Below are 20,029 nucleotides of genomic sequence, written 5' to 3'. Positions count from 1 at the left end.
CGTGGGCTGTGAAGTCATCTGTACTTCTTAAATAGCTGTGGGAAGTTTAGGAAGAGAAGGGAGGAAGGCTTGGCCATCTTGGAACTCTGCCTGGTGGTTCCACCATTAGGAAACCCAGAAAGGACTATGTAAGGCTGACACAAGGAAAGGGAATCTCCCCTTGAAGAGAAAGGCCCTCATCCCTCTAATAGCAGAGCAAGGGCCTGGATTCCACTGGACTTGCTCACCACAGTAGGAGCTCGTTAAATAACTTTTGAATGAATAAAAACAGTAATACCCTGCGTGTGACAAGGGTAATGCCCATGTTCTTTGTGACTAGGTTTCAAAAAGATAGGAAAGTGCCTATCTACTTTCCCTGCTCTTCTCTATTGTGGGGTGGGGGGTGGGGTGGCATGGGGTAGGGTGTGGGTGTGTGTATGTATAAAAAGGAATATGTAGAAAAGCCAAGATCCTCCCCCTCAAATTACTCTTCTCTAATCCTACATCCTATGAACTGGAATTTTCCATAAGATGCACAGAAATTCCAGATGCTTTATTATTTTCTGCTTCAATAAGCAGACACTAAATTCATTTCTTCAAACAGGTGGATCAAGGCAGAAATGGATGTGGAAATTATCATCCTGTACCTTTGAGGTAAAGAGGCTTCTACAGCTCTGGCATGAGCTACCACAGGTCATAACCATTAGGAAAGAAACTGGAATGTTACCATGCCAGGCTTTGTAAGTATTCTGTTAGTTCTCCTCTATATTGATTAAAGTTCGTAAAGTCAATACCTGGAACAGCCCAGAGGGAAAATACTTTACCTGTTCTCTTACTTCCCAAGATACCACATTTATTATCTAAGTCGCACAGGTTATCAGATAAACTTGCAGGTTTTTGTTTTATGAAGAAACAATAATCCCCAGGCTACTTTCCAGCATCCTCTACTGTTACTCTACAAAATCTTCCTTGGTGACATCATCCACTTCTCTGTCTTTGCTGGTTACCCGGTGCTGACAGCTGCTCCCTGCAAGGTGCAGGTGTCTCCTAACAATCACTAACTCCGCCTGTCGAACACCGAACTCACAGCCCCGACCTCTACGCCCTGCATCTCCTCCACCACTCCCTCGCTGAATGGCATCCCCACTTCTCCTAGCCGCCCCAGACACAAACCTTCGCAGTCACCTTTCATTTCTCCCTCTCGCTCCACAGGGTGGCCCTAAGGTAACTCGTACCTCCTGAAAATCTCATGAGTTAGTTCCAGCAGGAGTTTCTCATTCCAGCTCCTCATCTCTCATTGTAATCCCTAATCCATTCCCCTACAATGCTACCAGAGGGACCGTGCTAAAATGTAATTCCAGTTATTTTATCCCCCTAAAAACTAAAATCTACCAAATGGCTCCCAATGCCATCAGAATAATGCCAAGAAGCCTTAGGAGAGAAAATGAGATTCTTCACGAGGACCTTGCCCATCTCTCTAGCCTGGTCCCACTATCCATGTCCTAAGCTCTTGCAACTCCTGAGAGAGAAGAATCATGTTCTTGTCTCAGTTCCAAACCTATCACCTGGAACAGCTCTTTGCTCTTCCTGCAAATCCTAGCTCAGGTATCACTACATCCAGGAACCTCCTCAAATCACTCACCACCACCACCACCTGGTCTGAATTAGACAACCTTAGACAGTGCCCACATGCACTCCCTCCGACACCTTATGCACCGCTGACCTATCATTAAAAGACTGCTTCATAATTACAAACCTTCTATTTACTTACCATCAATAAGCCATGGCCTCTTGAGGTCATGATCCCATCATTCTGTCTTTATAACTCCTAGCAGGGTGCCTGGTAACATTAAGTGCTTGCTAATTATTTGTTTCTAAATGGGCTGCCTGGACAGGTGGCAGAGGGAGGACTGGGAGGTGAGAGCACAGGGGCAAAGTCAATTGGAGCTGCCACTCTGGTACTATCTCCATCAGTCACAACGCCTGAAACATATACTCCTCTGATTTAGATAGATCTGGTAGACACTCTGCTTTCAAGGAAGTCACATTTTTTAAAATAGGCTGCTAATGAAAGAGTGAATATTTTATAAGGTGCCTCTCCATACACATAATAAAATTTAGATTTCCCTTTTAAATTTAGTTTTTACCCTTGTAAAAAAATTATTTTTTGTCTGAACTACTCAGATTTCAGAGAGTAAAGCAACAAATAGAGAATACATGGAATTTTCATTGGCACTACACATATGCACACACCCATATACACACACTTCCTTAATACCCAATCTTAAAAGGCTCAAATAAATTAAATAAAATGAAGAAGGTGACCAATGTTTGCCAGTCCTTTTCGAGGAAGAAAACTATGTAACAATTACTTTGGCAGAATTCAGAGACCCAAATGTTCTGCAAACACTTAAAACACTCCCACTTTATTCATAAAAGACTTGAAAAAGTGTACACTGGATGCTGGTATGCTATCTTTAAAAAGGCCTTCTAAGGACTCTGAAGGCACCAAACTGCAAATCGTGTGTCTGAGAATTTTGCTTCAACTATCTCAACTGTTCAGTTGCCAAAAAGGAGTATCTACAAGAAACCACTGTTTCTTTTTTTTTTTTTTTAATTATACTTTAGGTTCTAGTGGACATGTGCACAATGTGCAGGTTTGTTACATATGTATACGTGTGCCGTGTTGGTTTGCTGCACCCATTACCTCGTCATTTACTTTAGGCATTTCTCCTAATGCTATCCCTCCCCCATCTCCCCACCCCATGACAGGCCCCGGTGTGTGATGTTCCCCGCCCTGTGTCCAAGTGTTCTCACTGTTCAATTCCCACCTATGAGTGAGAACATGCAAGAAACCACTGTTTCTTAATAACCTGTCTGACCTATTATTACTCAGGTACATGGGGCTAGTGCCAAAAAAGGACCGAGATTGCATCCCAAACATTCAGAGTTCTCTGCTCATAAATATAAAGACACACATGAAAAGTCACGGCATGATAATTAACAACACAAGAAAAGTCACAAGCATATAATGTCTATTATTAAAGTAGCCTTCACTTTTAAAACAATCCAGTGTACTGCAGCTTTACAGAAACATATCCACTGTTTAAAAAAAAAAAAAAACAATACCAGGCACAGTGGCTCATGCCTGTAATCCCAGCACTTTGGGAGGCTGAGGCGGGCGGATCATGAGGTCAGGAGCTCGAGACCAGCCTGGCTAACATGGTGAAACCCTGTCTCTACTAAAAATACAAAAATTAGCTGGGCGAGGTGGCGGGCGCCTATAATCCCAGCTACTCAGGAGGCTGAGACAGCAGAATTGCTTGAACCCGGGTGATGGAGGTTGCAGTGAGCTGAGATAGCGCTACTACACTCCAGCCTGGGTGGCAGAGCGAGACTCTGTCTCAAAAGAAAAAAAAAAAAAAGGCACCATAGAGCTGTATACAGTTCAGCCAAAATTCACAAAATCAGATCATCCTGACAGGGAAAGGTTCTCTGAGACCTATTAATAATTATTAAATTACTAAACTCTTGTTAATAAAGTATTTTGGACTTCAAATAATCTATAGCTGTACTAACTTTTATTTATCAATGACAGAGTATAGTAATATTTCCCACTATGATTATCAGATTTTCTTTCTCATTCCCTGAGTATGTTACAAGATCATAATTATTTTATCTTCCAGATGAGCTGTTAATATTATGAAATATTGTTGTATCTCTATTAACATATGAACTCTATTTTGATTGACAGTAATATTTGCCTGGTATGTATTTTTCTATCCCCTTATTTCAAACCTTCTGTAAACTAAAAATAAAATTCTAAGGCCCCCAACCATCTGAATGGGCCCTCTTGGCCAAGGGCATCCCGGAGTTGCCTGAAAATCTCTTTCAGGCCATGATGGAAAAGGGGAGGATGGACATGCCTCACTATCCATCCCCCTCCAGCATTAACATCAACTCAGACCTTAAGTGGGATAAGAAATACTCAAACTCTATTCTCTCTGAAGCCTGCTACTTGGAGGCCTCATCTGCATGATAAAACCTAGGTCTCCACAACCCCTTACCATAAGCCAGACATTCCTTTCTACTGATAATGACTCTTTCGACCAATTGCCATCAGAAAAAATTTAAATCTACCTATGACCTGGAAGGCTGCCCCTATCCTGCCCTTCCAGGTCAAACCAATGTAAATCTTACATGTACTGATTGATGTACTGTGTCTCCCTAAAATGTATAAAAGCAAGCTGTACCCTGACCACCTTGGGCACATGTTATCAGGACCTCCTGAGGCTATGTCACTGGTGTGTCCCTAACCTTGACAAAATAAACTTTCTAAATTGACTGAGACTTGTCTCAGACATTTTGAGTTCACACTTCTAGAGTCACTTTGTCTTAGGTATGCCTCTCTTTGTTTCAATCTAACCCAAGAGCCTCTGTCACTTAGTCGGCAAGCATAATCCATTTGCATTTATTGGGATTACTACCATATTTGACGTTTCAGTCAATTTATTTTGTATTTTCAATCATAATTAACAAAAATATGGAAACTGGGGCCCCAAGAGTTAAACAACTCAATCAAGTCACACAGCTATGATGCTTTTATCATAATATCTTCATCACTATTGAATCTTGTACCATAAGAACACAACCTAATCTTTAAAATGCAGAGGTGATGACTCTAAACCCTAACACAGCTAAAAATTACATTTTGGGAGGATGGCTTACTCTTTCTGGGGTGCGGTGCTTTATTTGCTTTCTCATTCCATCCTCCTCAGCAACCTTTTGAAGTAGATACTATTATTAGCCCTATTTTACAGGTGAATAAACTAAAGTTTTGCTGGTGGTGGCACAGGAAAAAAATGAAGAAACCAAGAGGACTTGAACCAAGTGGGTATGACTCCAAAGCCCATGCTTTAAATGAACAAATTGGCCTACCCTCTAAGGCAAGAACCCTTTAATAGTGGTCTATGTCAGAAAAATATCAAAAAGACTCAAGGCTCTTAAATAAATAAGGAAATGAATGACCTGCATCAAAGTCTAATTACGCCTAGGCCAGTTACCCACCCAGCCAGGTCTCCTTGTACATACACAATGGGGGTGATATTGCCCCCACAAGGAATGAAAATTCATTTTGGGGATGAGGCAAAAAATTGTATTCTTTTTCATATTAGCATAGATATATAATGTATCTATGGCATGAAAATTTCATGGGTGGGCAATTAGGAGGAAAAAAAGGGTCACACTGGGCGAGGGGGCTCACATCTGTAATCCCAGTGCTTTGGGAGGCCCAGGCAGGAGGATCATTTGAGGCCATGAGTTCGAGACCAGCCTGGGCAACAAAGTGAGCCCGTCTCTACAAAAAAATTAAAAATTAGTCAAGTGTGGTGACACATGCCTGTAGTCCCAGCCATTCATCTTCAAATGGGAGGATCACTTGAGCCTGGGAGGCCAAGGCTGCAGTAAGCTGTGATCATGCCAAAGCACTACAGCCTGGGGGACAGAGCAAGACCCTGTCACAAAAATAAATAAATAAATAAATAATCTAAAAAATTCCTGATAAGGGATGGGAATAATGAAAAAAATGATGAAAAACACTATCCAAGCTAAAGAAAAAAATGCTCATCTCCTTTAATGAAGATGTAACCACCCAACAGTTTCACCTCACCCACTGTCTAGACAGAGCCTATTTATCAAGACAGGGGAATTGCAATAAAGTTATTCACACAGAGCTGGCTGTGCAGCAGACCAGAGTTTTGCTATTACTTAAAACAGTCTCCCCAAGAATTTGGGGACTGGAGTTTTTAAGGATAATTTGCTGGGTAGGGGTCCACTGAGTTGGCAGTTCTGATTGGTAGGGGTGGAGATGAATACAGAGTTGAAGCTGTCCTCTTGCATTGAGTCAGTCCTGGGTGGGGGCCACAAGACCAGATAAGCCAGTTTATCCATCTGGGTGGTGCCAAATGATCCATCGAGGACAGGGTCTGCAAAATGTCACAAGCACTCATCTTAGGTTTTGCAATAGTGATGTTATTCCCAGGAACCATTTGGGGAGGTTTAGAATCTTGCAGCCTCCAGCAGCATGACTCCTAAACCATATTTTCTAATGTTGTGGTTAATTTGCTAGTCCTACAAAAGCAATCTAGTCCCCAGGCAAGAAGGGGGTTTTGTTATCATCTTTGTTTTAAACTACAAACTAAGTCCCTCTCAAAGTTAGTTTGGCCTAAGCCCAGGAAAGAGCAAGGACTGCTTGGAGGTTAGAAGCAAGATGGAGTTGGTTAGTACAGATCTCTTCCACTGTCTCAGTTAGAGTTTTGCAACGGCAGTTTCGAACACTTGAAAAAAGCCTCAGAAGACAGAAAGATGAAGAGCACATTTCTCTGTACTAAAGAATTAGAATTTCACATATCATGGGTCCCATTCATTATGTCTCTGATATAAAATCTCAGAGTGGCTACTCCCCACCAGAACTAACGTGTGTACTTTAGGGGAGCAGTGAAGATTTAGCCATCTTCTTCCTACAACATTCAAACGCTAAAATGCCCATTATGAACCTCCATTCTCAATATTCAGAGATAAACCTCTTTCCTGTAAGGATGGAAAACGCCACTGGAAGGTGATTCTAGCTTTACAAACAACACAGTCCAATAGACACATTTTTTTTTCTTAATGGGCAAATTCAACCAGGCTCTATACTCTTTGAAGGAGCAAAATTCACCCTTACTATAATGGAAATTAATTGTTTTTTAAGATTTCACTCGTGGGAAATACACTGTTTATTTTAAAACATTCTGCCAAATAGATCTCATCACCACGGTTTAAGAACTTATTATCATTATTATACAGTATAACCATGAATACACTCTATAACAAAAAACGGTATGAGACAGAAACATGGCACCCCTCTCACCTTCCTCCATTTTACAGAGCAAACTGCACAAGGAACAGTGATATTACAAATGGATTTATTATTTGAGTCCCTGAGAAGAAAATTCTTTATCTGCTGCATAGAAATTTATCCTTCTTTACTACTCGTACATTAAAATTTTAAAGTACTTCTTCTCCGCTTACATATAATACTCTCTAAAATCTAAATATAATTTTGTAAGTCCTAATATTTTGAAAAATCAGCTGAATATTGAAAGTAGATAGATCTAGAGAGAAAAGTTAATTTTTCCAATGTTCAGTTACAAATCTTGAAATCACCTAACTTGAACCAACTAAAATATTTTTTAAGTCCTACCAAATAAATACACAGCTATTCTCATATACATGGCAGTTCAAGGCCATCCTTGTTTCTGTTCCACATACAGAGAAGAGCTATTAAAAAACTGAAATTAACTGATGTCTTCTGGTTGACTAAATTATTTTTAAAAATAGAAACTATTAACTCAATACAGACCTAGCACCATGGTCTTATGGCTAATGTGGGGTTTCTAGCCACCACAAATAACAATTTGGTCTTACATTTACTTCCAAATAGTTTTAAATTACATTAGAGTATAGTTCTAATGGTGCTGCTGCCAAAATACCAGTCCTGAATTTCAGTGAGTTTGGCATTTCACTGCCCTATTTGTTGTGAAATTTCATAAGTTAGTATCATATGTGCCTGAACAACACAGGAGCAATAAAGCACTTTTTATTTGTAATCTGACTTCTCCTAGAGCAACCCAATGCCAAAATCCTCTGCAAATCTATCAAGTGGAAATGCATATCTCAATTACCTGGAAGGGAATGAAATGAAACAAATATGTAAAACTACACTGAAAACCAACACTATACTAAGTGATATGTGAGACACATATACCTCCCCCCACCACCACAAGCTCTGCAAGGGCCAGCATCCTCTTTGTTCTGTTCTAGTGTGGTTTCTTTTTTGTTTGCTTGCTTGTTTTGAGACAGGGATTCACTCCGTTGCCCAGGCTGGAGTGCAGTGGTGCAGTGTTGGCTCACTGCAACCTCTGCCTCCAGGGCCTCAGCCTCCCTGGTAGCTGGAACCACTGGCACACACCACCATGCCTGGCTAATTTTTGTATCTTCTGTAGAGCCAGGGTTTCGCCATGCTGCCTAGGCTGGTCTCCTGGGCTCAAGTGATCTGCCCGCCTCAGCCTCCCAAAGTCTGGGATTACATGCCTAAGCCACCGTGCCCAGCCTATTCTGTTCATCTTTAAACCATTAGTAACCAGCATGGCACCTAAGCCATAGCAGGTGCTCAAAAACAATTGTGAAATGCAACACAGATGGTAGGAGCTGTATTGCAGCAGAGTAATCTAACTCTAAAACATAGTGCTTCTTCCTACCTAAATAGTATGTACTTTGGATCCCAGTAAAATTCTCATTGTTACACAGGAACAACCTTCTCTTTACTCAGATTTATTCAGAGAAGGTTATAAATTTGTAAGTTATAAAATTATAAATTTATTTTCAACTGTCGCAAAACATGAGGGGTCATATTTGGATAGGATTGCAGTAATCACTAATTTCACAATCTCACCAGCATTTGCCTTTTAACATATTTATTTTAAATGTAGACGATTTTAAGATCATTTCTCTTTGTAAAATATCCTAAATAGGTCCTACACTGTCATGGCAACCCAGATTTCCAGAGATTTACACTTTATTAAATTTTCTCAAAGAGCTGTTCAAATAACTACCATCGCTTGCATTAACACTGCAGCAACAAGCCTTTCCCCTTTGTATGCTTGGTAAATGTTTCCCAGACTTACTTAGAAATCCATAACCTTTCAAATAAACAAAATGAGTAAAGATTGGCCTATGATACTTGAAAGGAAGAGAATATCAATCCTAGAAAAAACATTCAAATAATTATCATTTTAACATGATCAAACCTCTATTAGAGGGGTCCCCAACCCCGAGGCCACACAGCAGAAGGTGAGCAGCGGACAAGCAAGCGAAGTACAGCTGTTCCCCATAGTTTGCTTATACCTACCATCTGAGCTCTGCCTCCTGTCAGATTCATGGTGGCATTACAGCCTCATAGGAGCGCAAACCCTACTGTGAACTGCACATGACAGGGATCAGGATTGTGCGCTCCTTATGAGAATCTAACGCCAGACGATCTGTCACTGTCTTCTATCACCCCTGCCGATGGACCATCTAATTGGAGGAAAACAAGATCAGGGCTCCCACTGATTCTATATCATGGTGAGTTGTAGAATTATTATTATTATTATTTTTTGAGATGGAGTCTAGCTCTGTCACCCAGGCTGGAGTGCAGTGGCATGATCTTGGCTCACTGCAACCTCCACCTCTTGGGTTCAAGAGGTTCTCCTGCCTCAGCCTCTGCAATCCCTAGCTGGGATTGCAGACATGCGCCACCACCACACCTGGCTAATTTTTGTATTTTTAGTAGAGACTGGGTTTCACCATGTTGGTCAGGCTGGTCTCGAACTCCTGACCTCAGGTGATTTGCCCACTTTGGCCTCCCTAAATGCTGGGATTACAAGGGTGAGCCACCATGTCCGGCCAGAATTATTTCATTATATATTACAATGTAATAATAATAAAGTGCACAATAAAAGTAATGTGCTTCAATCATCCCGAAACCATCCCCACAACCCGTCAGTGGAAAAACTGTCTTCCACGAAACTAGTCCCTGGTGCCAAAAAGGTTGGAGACCACTATTCTATTACTAAAATTTGTTTAAACCTGATCAATCCGAAGAAAAAAATTTTTAAAAACAAAATATTGTTTAACAATACAGTCTACACAGTCTGGAATCCATTAGAGGCCTGCACATGACTGCTTAAAAGCTTATTTTCAAAGGAACTCAATATCAAGCTTGGTAACAAAAGTCAGTTAAAGTAAATGTGGATTCACTTTGGCTTCCAGAATATCTAAACATGAGTATACAAGAAAAATGAGCGATGGTGCCTAAAATATTGCCATAAGTTTAGAACCACAAAGGAGATCTCTGATTTACAGTGCATTTATCATAGGTGACAGCCATAAGTTAAGTATGTTAAGTATGTCTACTGTGGGGCCAGACCCTAATCCAACCAAGCCAATCAGCCCAACACCCAGGCTGGGGATACCTCACCACACTTTCCAGAAAGTCACAGGATAATGCACAGCCTGTCCAAAGCTGCATGGGCTTGTAATTCAAACTTATCTGGCTCCTACTATCGCTCAAATGACTGCAAAATGAAAATAAGATCTTAGCTGGTGAAGTCTTCAATCAGGTATAAGAGCAAAAGGAATCAGCAAGTTTCTGCGTTCTCCCAGTAGGGGGAAAAAACTTAGAAGAAAAGATCAGGGCATCCAGACCACTCTGAATTTCTTTAAAATCTCCCTGGTGATGTGATTTTTGAAACTGCATTTTTCAACTACTTACTTGACCAAAATCAAGTCCATAACTTCATCTCCTTGAAATATGTTACTAATAAACAAGTTTTCTATTTCCCAAAATATCTGCAACATAATATGCACTTTGTTTTTCCTATCTCAAAATGCTTTCAAAGCAGTTGCTTCTGTTGTCAAAATCAGCAGCACAGAAGAATGAACCGGATGTCAGGGCAATTTGGAACATTTAGAGGGAACTAAATTCTGTTAGTATTCTATGACTCTGCACAGAGAGAAGTATCAGGGGCTGGGCACCAGCAGTAGCTGGATTTTTAGTGGTGCCTGAGTGTTATGGACCAAATTGTGCTCACCTTCCAAATTCACATGTTGTAGGAGTAACCCCTAATGTGATTGTATTCGGAGACAGAGCCTGTAGGGAGGTAATCTAGGTTAAGTGCGGTCATAATGGTAGGGCCCTAATCCAATAGGACTGGTGTAGTTATTAGAAAAGGAACAAAGAATGGCCGGGCACAGTGGCTCACGCCTATAATCCCAGCACTTTGGGCAGATCACCTGAGGTCAGGAGGTTGAGACCAGCCTGGCCAACATGGTGAAACCCTGTCTCAAATAAAAATACAAAAATTAGCCGGGCGCAGAGGTGGGTGCCTGTAATCCCAGCTACTTGGGAGGCTGAGGTGGGAGAATCACTTGAGCCTGGGAGGCGGAGGTTGCAGTGAGCAGAAACCATGCCACTGCGCTCTACCCTGGGTGACAGAGTGAGACCCCTTATCATTAAAAAAAAAAAAAAAAAGAAAGAAAGCAAGGAACAAAGAGACACTATGGTTCCCCTGCACCCACCCATTTGCACAAAGAAAAGGCCAGGTGAGGACACAGTGAGGCGGCAGCCATCTGCAAGCCAGGAAGAGAAGCCTCATCAGAAATCAACTGACAGCTCCTTGATCTTGGACTTCTACCCTACAGAACAGTGAGAAAATAAATTTCTGTTGTTTAATCCATACAGTCTGTGGCATTCTGTTATGGCAGCCTGAGCAGATTAATTCACCAAGTGAACCCTAAAGCTGCCTTCTGTGCCATTAAACTCCAATCTCAATCCAAGGATCCTGTAATTAATGAAGGCTTTCTAATCTCATTAGCAATGGCACTGCTAACTCTCAATATCTTGTGATTTTAAAGATAAGGACAATGGATAAATGAGAACCAGATCAACAACTTGACCTTACTGTTTTAGGCTGGCCATCATGTCCCCGTGCAGCAGCTGCCGCTGCCCTAACACTTTTAGAGGCCCTCAAAATCACAAACTATGCTCAACTCACTCTCTATAGTTCTCATAACTTCCAAAATCTATTTTCTTCCTCACACCTGATGCATATACTTTCTGCTCCCCGGCTCCTTCAGCTGTACTCACTCTTTGTTGAGTCTCCCACAGTTACCATTGTTCCTGGCCCGGACTTCAATCCAGCCTCCCACACTATTCCGGATACATCTGACTCCCATGACTGTATCTCTCTGATCCACATGACATTCACTCCCTTTCTCCATGTTTCCTTCTTTCCTGTTCCTCACCCTGATCACACTTGGTTTATTGATGGCAGTTCCACCAGGCCTAATCGCCACTCACCAGCAAAGGCAGGCTATGCTATAGTATCTTCCACATCTATCACTGAGGCTACCGCTCTGCCCCCCTCCATTACCTCTCAGCAAGCTGAACTCACTGCCTTAACTTGAGCCCTCACTCTTGCAAAGGGACTACCCATCAATATTTATACTGACTCTAAATATGCCTTCCATATCCTGCACCACCATGCTGTTATATAGGCAGAAAGAAGTTTCCTCACTATGCAAGAGTCCTCCATCAATAATGCCTCTTTAATAAGAACTCTTCTCAAGGCTGCTTTACTTCCAAAGAAAGCCGGAGTCATTCACTGCAAAGGCCATCAAAAGGCTTCAGATCCCATTGCTCTGGACAACGCCTATGCTGATAAGATAGCTAAAAAAGCAGCTAGCGTTCCAACTTCTATCCCTCAGGGCAGTTTTCCTCCTTCTCATCTGGCCACTCCCACCTACTCCCTCGCTGAAACTTCCACCCATCTCTTCCCACACAAAGCAAATGGTTCTTGGACCAAAGAAAAATCTCCTTCCAGTCTCACAGGCCCATTCTATTCGTCATTTCATAACCTCTTCCATGTAGGTTGCAAGCCGCTAGCCCGCCTCTTAGAACCCGCTAGCCCACCTCTTAGAACCTCTCATTTCCTTTCCATCGCAAAAATCTATCCTCAAGGAAATCACTTTTCAGTGTTCCATCTGCTATTCTACTACTCCTCAAGAATTTCTCAGGCCCCCTCCCTTCCCCACACATCAAGCTCGGGGATTTGCCCCGCCCAGGACTGGCAAATTGACTTTACTCACATGCCTCGAGTCAGGAAACTAAAATACCTCTTGGTCTGGGTAGACACTTTCACTGGATGGGTAGAGGCCTTTCCCACAGGGTCTAAGAAGGCCACCGTGGTCATTTATTCCCTTCTGTCAGACATAGTTCCTCGGTTTGGCCTTCTCACCTCTATACAGTCCGATAACGGACCGGCCTTTACTAGTCAAATCACCCAAGCAGTTTCTCAGGCTGTTGGTATTCAGTGGCACCTGGTTTTTCCTCAAACTGCCACCCTTAAGTCTCTCTTTAAGTGGATAGAAGATCTTCAGTGGCAAGGTACCCTCCAATACTTTCACCCTGATGAAGTCCTATTCTTTACTTTTATACTTACTCTTATTCTCATTCCCGTTCTTATGCCACCCTCTACCTCTCCCCAGCTATCTCTATCACACTATCAATCTCAGTTACTCTCTCCTAGCCGTTTCTAATCCTTCTTTAACAAACAATTGCTGGCTTTGCATTTCTCTTTCTTCCAAAATCACAAAGGTCTCGACTTACTGCTAAAAAAAAAAAAAAGGGGACTCTATATTTTTAAATGAAGAGTGCTATTTTTACCTAAATCAATCTGGCCTGGTATATGACAACATTAAAAAAAACTCAAAGATAGAGCCTAAAAGCTTGCCAACCAAGCAAGTAATTACACTAACCCCCCTTGGACACTCTAATTAGATGTCCTGGGTCCTCCCAATTCTTAGTCCTTTTATACCTGTTTTTCTCCTTCTCTTATTCAGACCTTGTGTCTTCCATTTAGTTTCTCAATTCATCCAAAACCATATCCAGGCCATCACCAATCATTCTATACGACAAATGTTTCTTCTAACAACCCGACAATTATCACCCCTTACCACAAAATCTTCCTTCAGCTTCATCTCTCCCACACTAGGTTTCCATGTTGCCCCAGTCCTGCTCAAAGCAGCCCTGAGAAACATTGCCCATTATCTCTCCATACCACCCCCCAAAATTTTCCCCACCCCAACACTTTACCACTATTTTATTTTTCTTATTAATATAAGAAGACAGGAATGTCAGGCCTCTGAGCCCAAGCTAAGCCATCATATCCCCAGTGACCTGCACGTATACATCCAGATGGCCTGAAGCAACTGAAGATACACAAAAGAAGTGAAAATAGCCTTAACTGATAACATTCCACCATTGTGATTTGTTCCTGCCCCACCCTAACCGATCAATGTACTTTGTAATCTCCACCACCCTTAAGAAGGTTCTATATAATCTCCCCACCCTTGAGAATGTACTTTGTGAGATCCACCCCCTGCCCCCAAAACATTGCTCTTAACTCCACCGCCTATTCCAAAACCTGTAAGAACTAATGATAATCCCACCACCCTTTGCTGACTCCTTTTTTGGACTCAGCCTGCCTGCACCCAGGTGAAATAAACAGTCTTGTTGCTCAAAAAAAAAAAAAAGAGAGAGAACCAGATCAACCTAAACTTTACTTTCTCTGGAGAGACTCTTCTGAAACCCCTAGTCCCAGCCCAGGGCCTCTCCTGTTCTATGTTCCTACTGGTTTGTTGTTTTTTCATAGCACGCACTACGATGGTGTTTAAATAATTACCTGTGTATTTATTAAATGACTATCTTGCCTGAAAGTATACTGTACTCTCCAAGAACTATTGGGTATTTCTCTCTTTTTCATCAATGTATCCCTAAATATAGTGTCTAGCTCCCAGACAACAATACACAAATGTTTAATGAACAAACTTTATACTTAAAATTTTCTCAGCTTCGAAGAGTATTAGAAGCACTTTCCCTACCAATTCCTCTACTATCAAGAAGAAAAAATTACTCAGTTCATCAAGTGGTAAATTTTTTCAAATGTAAACTATAAGTAGAAAAAAAAAAACCAAACAGATAAGCTCTTGTAGATTGAGTCATCTATATTTTTTAAATTATATTTACATGAGAATTTTTAAGTTCTCTCACTGACCAAAAAGCTTCAAAAGCAACTTCAAATTTCTAAGACAAATTTTCACTGCTGTCTGAGCAGCCATGCTCAAGGGTGCCGGCTCTGGGACAGGTCCATGGCCTGGTCAGCCCTTTCCTCACAACCTCCGAAAGCACATGTAGCACGGGGAAGGTCCCAGGGCCAAGAGAGGATTCAAATTATTCAAGCACACATACAGTCTTGCATTCAGATTTTATTTATTTATTTATTTATTTATTTATTTATTTATTTAGAGACGGAGTCTCACTCTGTTGCCCAGGCTGGAGTGCAGTGGCGCGATCTTGGCTCACTGCAAGCTCCACCTCCCGGGTTGACGCCATTCTCCTGCCTCAACCTCCCAAGTAGCTGGGACTACAGGCACCCGTCACCTCGCCCAGCTAATTTTTTGTTTTTTTAGTAGAGATGGGGTTTCACCGTGTTAGCCAGGATGGTCTCGATCTCCTGACCTCGAGATCCGCCCGCCTCAGCCTCCCAAAGTGCTGGGATTACAGGCGTGAGCCACCGCGCCTGGCCCAGATTTTTAAAAATAAAGTTCCCAAGGTTGGAAGAGAGAAAAACTGACAGCAATTCAAGGAAAACGTGGCAAGCTCAATGTGAAGCAACAGCAGAAGATACAACTAAAGGAAGCTTCACTGTTAGACGCCAAGTTAAATCACCCCAGGTACTGACCAAGCCAAGAGTGTCCAGAAGGGGCAGCCAGGCTGTAAGACACCTAGGAGACCCAGCCCAGGAGCTAGGACCCCTGGGGAAAAGTCCAGGAGACACACCTGGCAGGTATGTGCAGGCAGCTTCAGGAGCCTTCCTGGGAGAGCTGGCACAGATTTCCCAGCAGGCAGGGAGCAACAACTTCACAGTGGCTAGGGGTTAGGAGGTACTTTCTAACAGCTAGAGCGCTCCAAAAATGCAGAGAGCAGAGAGGTATTCGATTTGTTGTTGTTATTGTTGTTGTTTTCACAGCACACACTGAAACAATGTTTAAATAATGACCTGTTAAATGACCATCTTGCCTGAAAGTATACTGTACTCTCCATATATTCAACAGGATAGCTACAGAAAGAACTGAGTACTGTGTGGGAAGCCGGGATGCATGCATTCCAAGATCTCATCCAACTAACAAGCATCAATAATTTGTTTAACCACCAAGTATTCACACCATTCTTGTGATCGAATACAATGTGGTAATACTATAATATGCAAAACTTGGTTCCCAAGGTGTGTAAGACACTCTCTCTTCAATGAGGCTCAGAAGATATTTCAAAATAATGGCTTTTCCAGCTCTATGTTTAACTGAATCACCATTACTTTAATTGTAACCATTCTTTGTTTGGGGTGTTGTCATATCAAGAAAATATTTGCACTCTATAAACAAAGTATTCTTCTACAAACATTTATACACGTTTTCATTGGATTTCACAACCCCACTGAAAATAATGAGCAAAAAGTTCTCAAAACAGCTTCTGCATTCTGATGAAAACATTCATTTTAAGTACGCCACTGGAAATATTTATCACTAAACCAATTACTTTATTTGGGAATTTTACGCTTTTTAAAATATTATAAGGTACTAAGTAAAACATTTGCTTATTAAAAAAAAAACCTTTTAATTAGAAAATACAGTCATCCCTCACTACCCATGGGCAATTGGTTCCAGGACCTCTTATGAATACCAAAATCCATGGACGCTCAGGTCCCTTATATAAAATGGTGTAGTATTTGTATAAAACCGACACACATCCTCTCAAATACTTTAAATCACCTAAAGATTACTTATAATTCCTAATACAACGCCTACACATCACCTTACTCACATGGATTCAATGCAGTTCTCAGTAAGCAGCAAATCGTGCTTCTGCTTTTTCGAACTTTGTGGATTTTTTTTCCCAAATATTTTCTATCCATGGTTGGTTGAATTCACAGATGCAGAAGCCATGGATACAGGGGGCCAGCTGTACTGCTTAGGCTGGTATGACTTCTCAGTCACCCAAGGAATATCCTTAAGTCTAGGATTTTATTCTCCGAAAAAGGAGGAAATATTCCTACTAGCTAAATAGATATGAAAATCCAAAAGGTTTTTATTTAAGAAAGTCATAGAACATCAGAATGTAAAACAGCTGTGCCTTGCAGGACCTTTGTTTACACAAACCTCTCTGCCTCTTCAGGTTGGAAGGAGGGGAGGTGGGGGCACCTCAGAAAGTAGTTTTCCTAACAAATTACTCCCTTACTTTTCTCCTAATCAGACATTTGCTTTAACGGAGATTTGAACAAGTCAGTCCCACCCAGTGCACTTAAAAATCAATGCACACATATTCAGCATTAGTCATATTGTAACAAATTCCTAATATAGTGTGGGGGATACTCAGAAGAGTAGTTGGTGATAAACCAAACCAAGCAATCAAAATACTACACCTGAAGGCTGCAGAATATGGTTTGTTATGGCTGTTTTAATGCAGTTCCTGGAAATATCCTTAACATCTTCCATATATAGATTATGACAGCACCAAAATATTCCCCCCAAAAGTGAACCCATACATTTAGAAGCATCAAGAAAATATGGGAAAGCCATTCATTGTAACCACACTCAGCTACTGAGGGATGAATAGTTATGTATTCAGCAGTTTCTCAGCCAGAAGTGGGTTGGTTTTGCTTTTTGGCAATGGGTATATGTTTTTAATATTGCTGTGTTACTCGAAAAGAGTTGGTATGTTCAAAGACTAGAAAGGAAAGGCCTGTTTGTGAAACCAGTGATGAGAGCATGGATCAAAATAATGACCTACAAGGATGGTCGCTTTCATGCTCATGGAGACTTCTCATTTCTAACCCTTGGACACTTTCAAATTCTGCTAAGGCCCTCAGATTTTCAAGAGTGTAGGTGCTGGGTGAGACAGCCAGTGTCAAAGAGATTTCTCTGAAGAGCATCTTGTTCCCACACTGGGCCTGCAGGAGAACAGACAGGTAGGGGGCACTGTTCCCTCAGCTTGCTCTGACTGCAAAGCCACTAACCAGATGAGCAATGAGACCCCCACACTACGCCTAGTCCTCCATGAACAGGAAGGCAGCAACTGGCTGACATAGTGTGCTGAAAGATGGGCCAAGTTCCCATGAGAATTGTGTTCATATCTCCATGCGGAGCATGCAAAAAAGCTGAGCATAATATATCAGCATGGAGACACCAGTGACCAGTGTCGTGGGGCAGGTGAGAATGGATGACCAAAAATAAGCTCAGCAGATTAACCTCCACACAACAAAAGGATTTTCTTTTTAAACACAGGGATCACCAAACTGAAGGCTAAGAATGTACCCAGTTGTAAAATCCAATGTGATTACTATGTCAGGGAAGCCCCCAAGCCACACAGGTAGTTCTCCTTTCCTCATGACCACAGAGGGAACATGGCAGTAGCCTCGAGTGCATTCTTCTCTGAGGTACCCTAGCTGATCTGTTAGCTCTCTGAGTCCGTGCAGAGCTCATTCCTGACACAATGAGGGCAAAGCCAACAAACACTGGCCCTCTTCAACCAGACTGCTCACCACTCACACAATCTCCAGGAACCTCCATCTAGAAGCTCCAGAAGGTTCCTGCTCAACAGGCTTTACAAAAGAGGAATAATGAAGCCCTTCACCTTGCTTTCACTGTCCATTCTAAAAGGAGAAACAACAACAAAAAAACCCCCAGGAAAGCCAGAGTTTGCCCTTGGTTTTGCACTTGGATTTTCCATGAACACATCTCTGTCTGACTTCAAGGGAAGTCCATTAACCTTTCCTGATGTACAAGAACCTTGCAGGAAAAGTAGGCAGGGAGCTGTCACCCATGCACACACAGCCCCACTTCAAAGTGTATTCTCTGAAGTGAATATTTATTTCTCTTCTCTAAATGGCAGAAGGTATCTTCCTCTGTTGCCGGAAATAGACAATTATGTCAGGAGCAGCCATCCCTGATGTAAACCAACCCTTCACAGAGGGCTGGGTTGGGGGGCGTGCAGGTAAAGTGCAACCACTCTGACAGCCTGCCATCCCCACAGCACTAAATTGATGCCAGCTGCCCACTACAGGCTACGTTCCTGAGGTCCTGTGACAGGCTCCTGAGAAGACTAACAAACCTTCCCATCAGCTTCCAGATGAGAGCAAGGGTGAGGCCTTTGGGGCTAGAAAGCAGAAACTCGCCAGCTCCCCGATCAGAACCACAGTCTCACTATTGGCAGGGGTAGGGTGTCATTTCAAAGGCCAGTGTGTTTGGGGAAAGGAATGAGTGAATTATTTGACTGACATCCTGAAAAGAAAAATACACATACTCTCTCTCTCAGAGTTTAGCATTTGGAGAGTGATGCTGTCAGGACAGGTCTGGAAATGAACCAAAGCTCCTTAATCTAGTCTTGCTTTAGCGCAAATATTCCAGAAGATGCTAATGATCACCTCCCAACACAAATTTTCAGGGAGCTGCAAATACTTACCAAAACGTGATCGAGCTTTTCTCACGAAGTCTCTATACACACTAGTTGCTCCATATTCTAGCTCCCACTTCTCACAACTCCCCAGTCCCCCACCTTTGCACTGTCCTCTCCCCAGAGAGGCTCCATCCCCAGGCAGGGGTGGTAACTCTCCGGTGCAGTGCCCAGTGCCAGCAAAGGGCATCCAGGTACCACCTCCCATCAACCTGACCCGCCATGTCAAGGAGCACTGAGCAGAAAGGTGAGCAAGTAACGAGACAAAGCCTCCAAAACACGAAGAGGTGGAACTGACCAATTCAGAATCCACCAAGTCCATCTCCTCTTTCTGGATGCCACAAACCTACACCTGGCTGTCCAGCCAGGTTAGCATTTAATTGCTTTAAATTACCCTTAATGGATATACACAGCATTAGAAATGATCAGTTATCCCTAACACTGTACCTAAATAATGTGTAGTGTTCCCTAAAAGGGAGAAGGAAGGTTTCTACAATATGCAGAAGTGACCAGCTATTCAAGAAGCTCCTTTGTAATATATAGCAACTGGTCTGGTATTTGTCAGTCTTAGTTAGCTAATTACAAACCTATTTCTTTCTAAAGGAATAAAAAAGAAAAAAAAAGAGCCAAAGAGCCAAAAAGCCCCAGAGGCAGTTTATCATGCCTCTGGTAGCTCATGTGGGATAAGGAAGGGCAATTTCTACTCGGGTAAAGGGGACAGGAAGATGAGGACTCTTTGCTTCCTCCTCACTGGGGACCCCAGAGTCCTGCTCTCTGCAGCTGCCTAGCCTGACTGTTGACAGGACAGTCCACGAGCCCCGAGAGAAGATCACGAGAGATCTGTAATCAGAGAATCTGACATCCCTTCCAGAAATCAGCCATTCCTTATTTGGGTCAGTC

General features: G+C 42.2%; 1 protein-coding gene, 1 long non-coding RNA gene and 1 pseudogene across 12 annotated transcripts in view; 1 reads left to right on the top strand and 2 right to left on the bottom strand.

The window, feature by feature from the left end:
* The window catches only part of SPTBN1-AS1 (SPTBN1 antisense RNA 1), a 39,389-nt gene extending 37,657 nt beyond the window's left edge, over nt 1–1,732 (top strand). The window contains exon 4 of the long non-coding RNA NR_185881.1: nt 584–1,732. This is a non-coding gene — a long non-coding RNA (SPTBN1 antisense RNA 1). The remainder of the gene's footprint in view (nt 1–583) is intronic.
* Nucleotides 1–20,029, bottom strand: part of SPTBN1 (spectrin beta, non-erythrocytic 1) — a 215,120-nt gene that overhangs the window by 150,398 nt on the left and 44,693 nt on the right. The gene's annotated exons all lie outside the window — the stretch shown is intronic.
* Nucleotides 930–20,029, bottom strand: part of C9orf85P1 (C9orf85 pseudogene 1) — a 36,004-nt pseudogene continuing 16,904 nt past the window's right edge.

Source organism: Homo sapiens, chromosome 2, assembly GCF_000001405.40.
Source record: "Homo sapiens chromosome 2, GRCh38.p14 Primary Assembly".
Taxonomy (NCBI): domain Eukaryota; kingdom Metazoa; phylum Chordata; class Mammalia; order Primates; family Hominidae; genus Homo; species Homo sapiens.
Note: the sequence above shows the minus strand (reverse complement) of the source record. Positions and strands in the feature narration are given on the sequence as shown.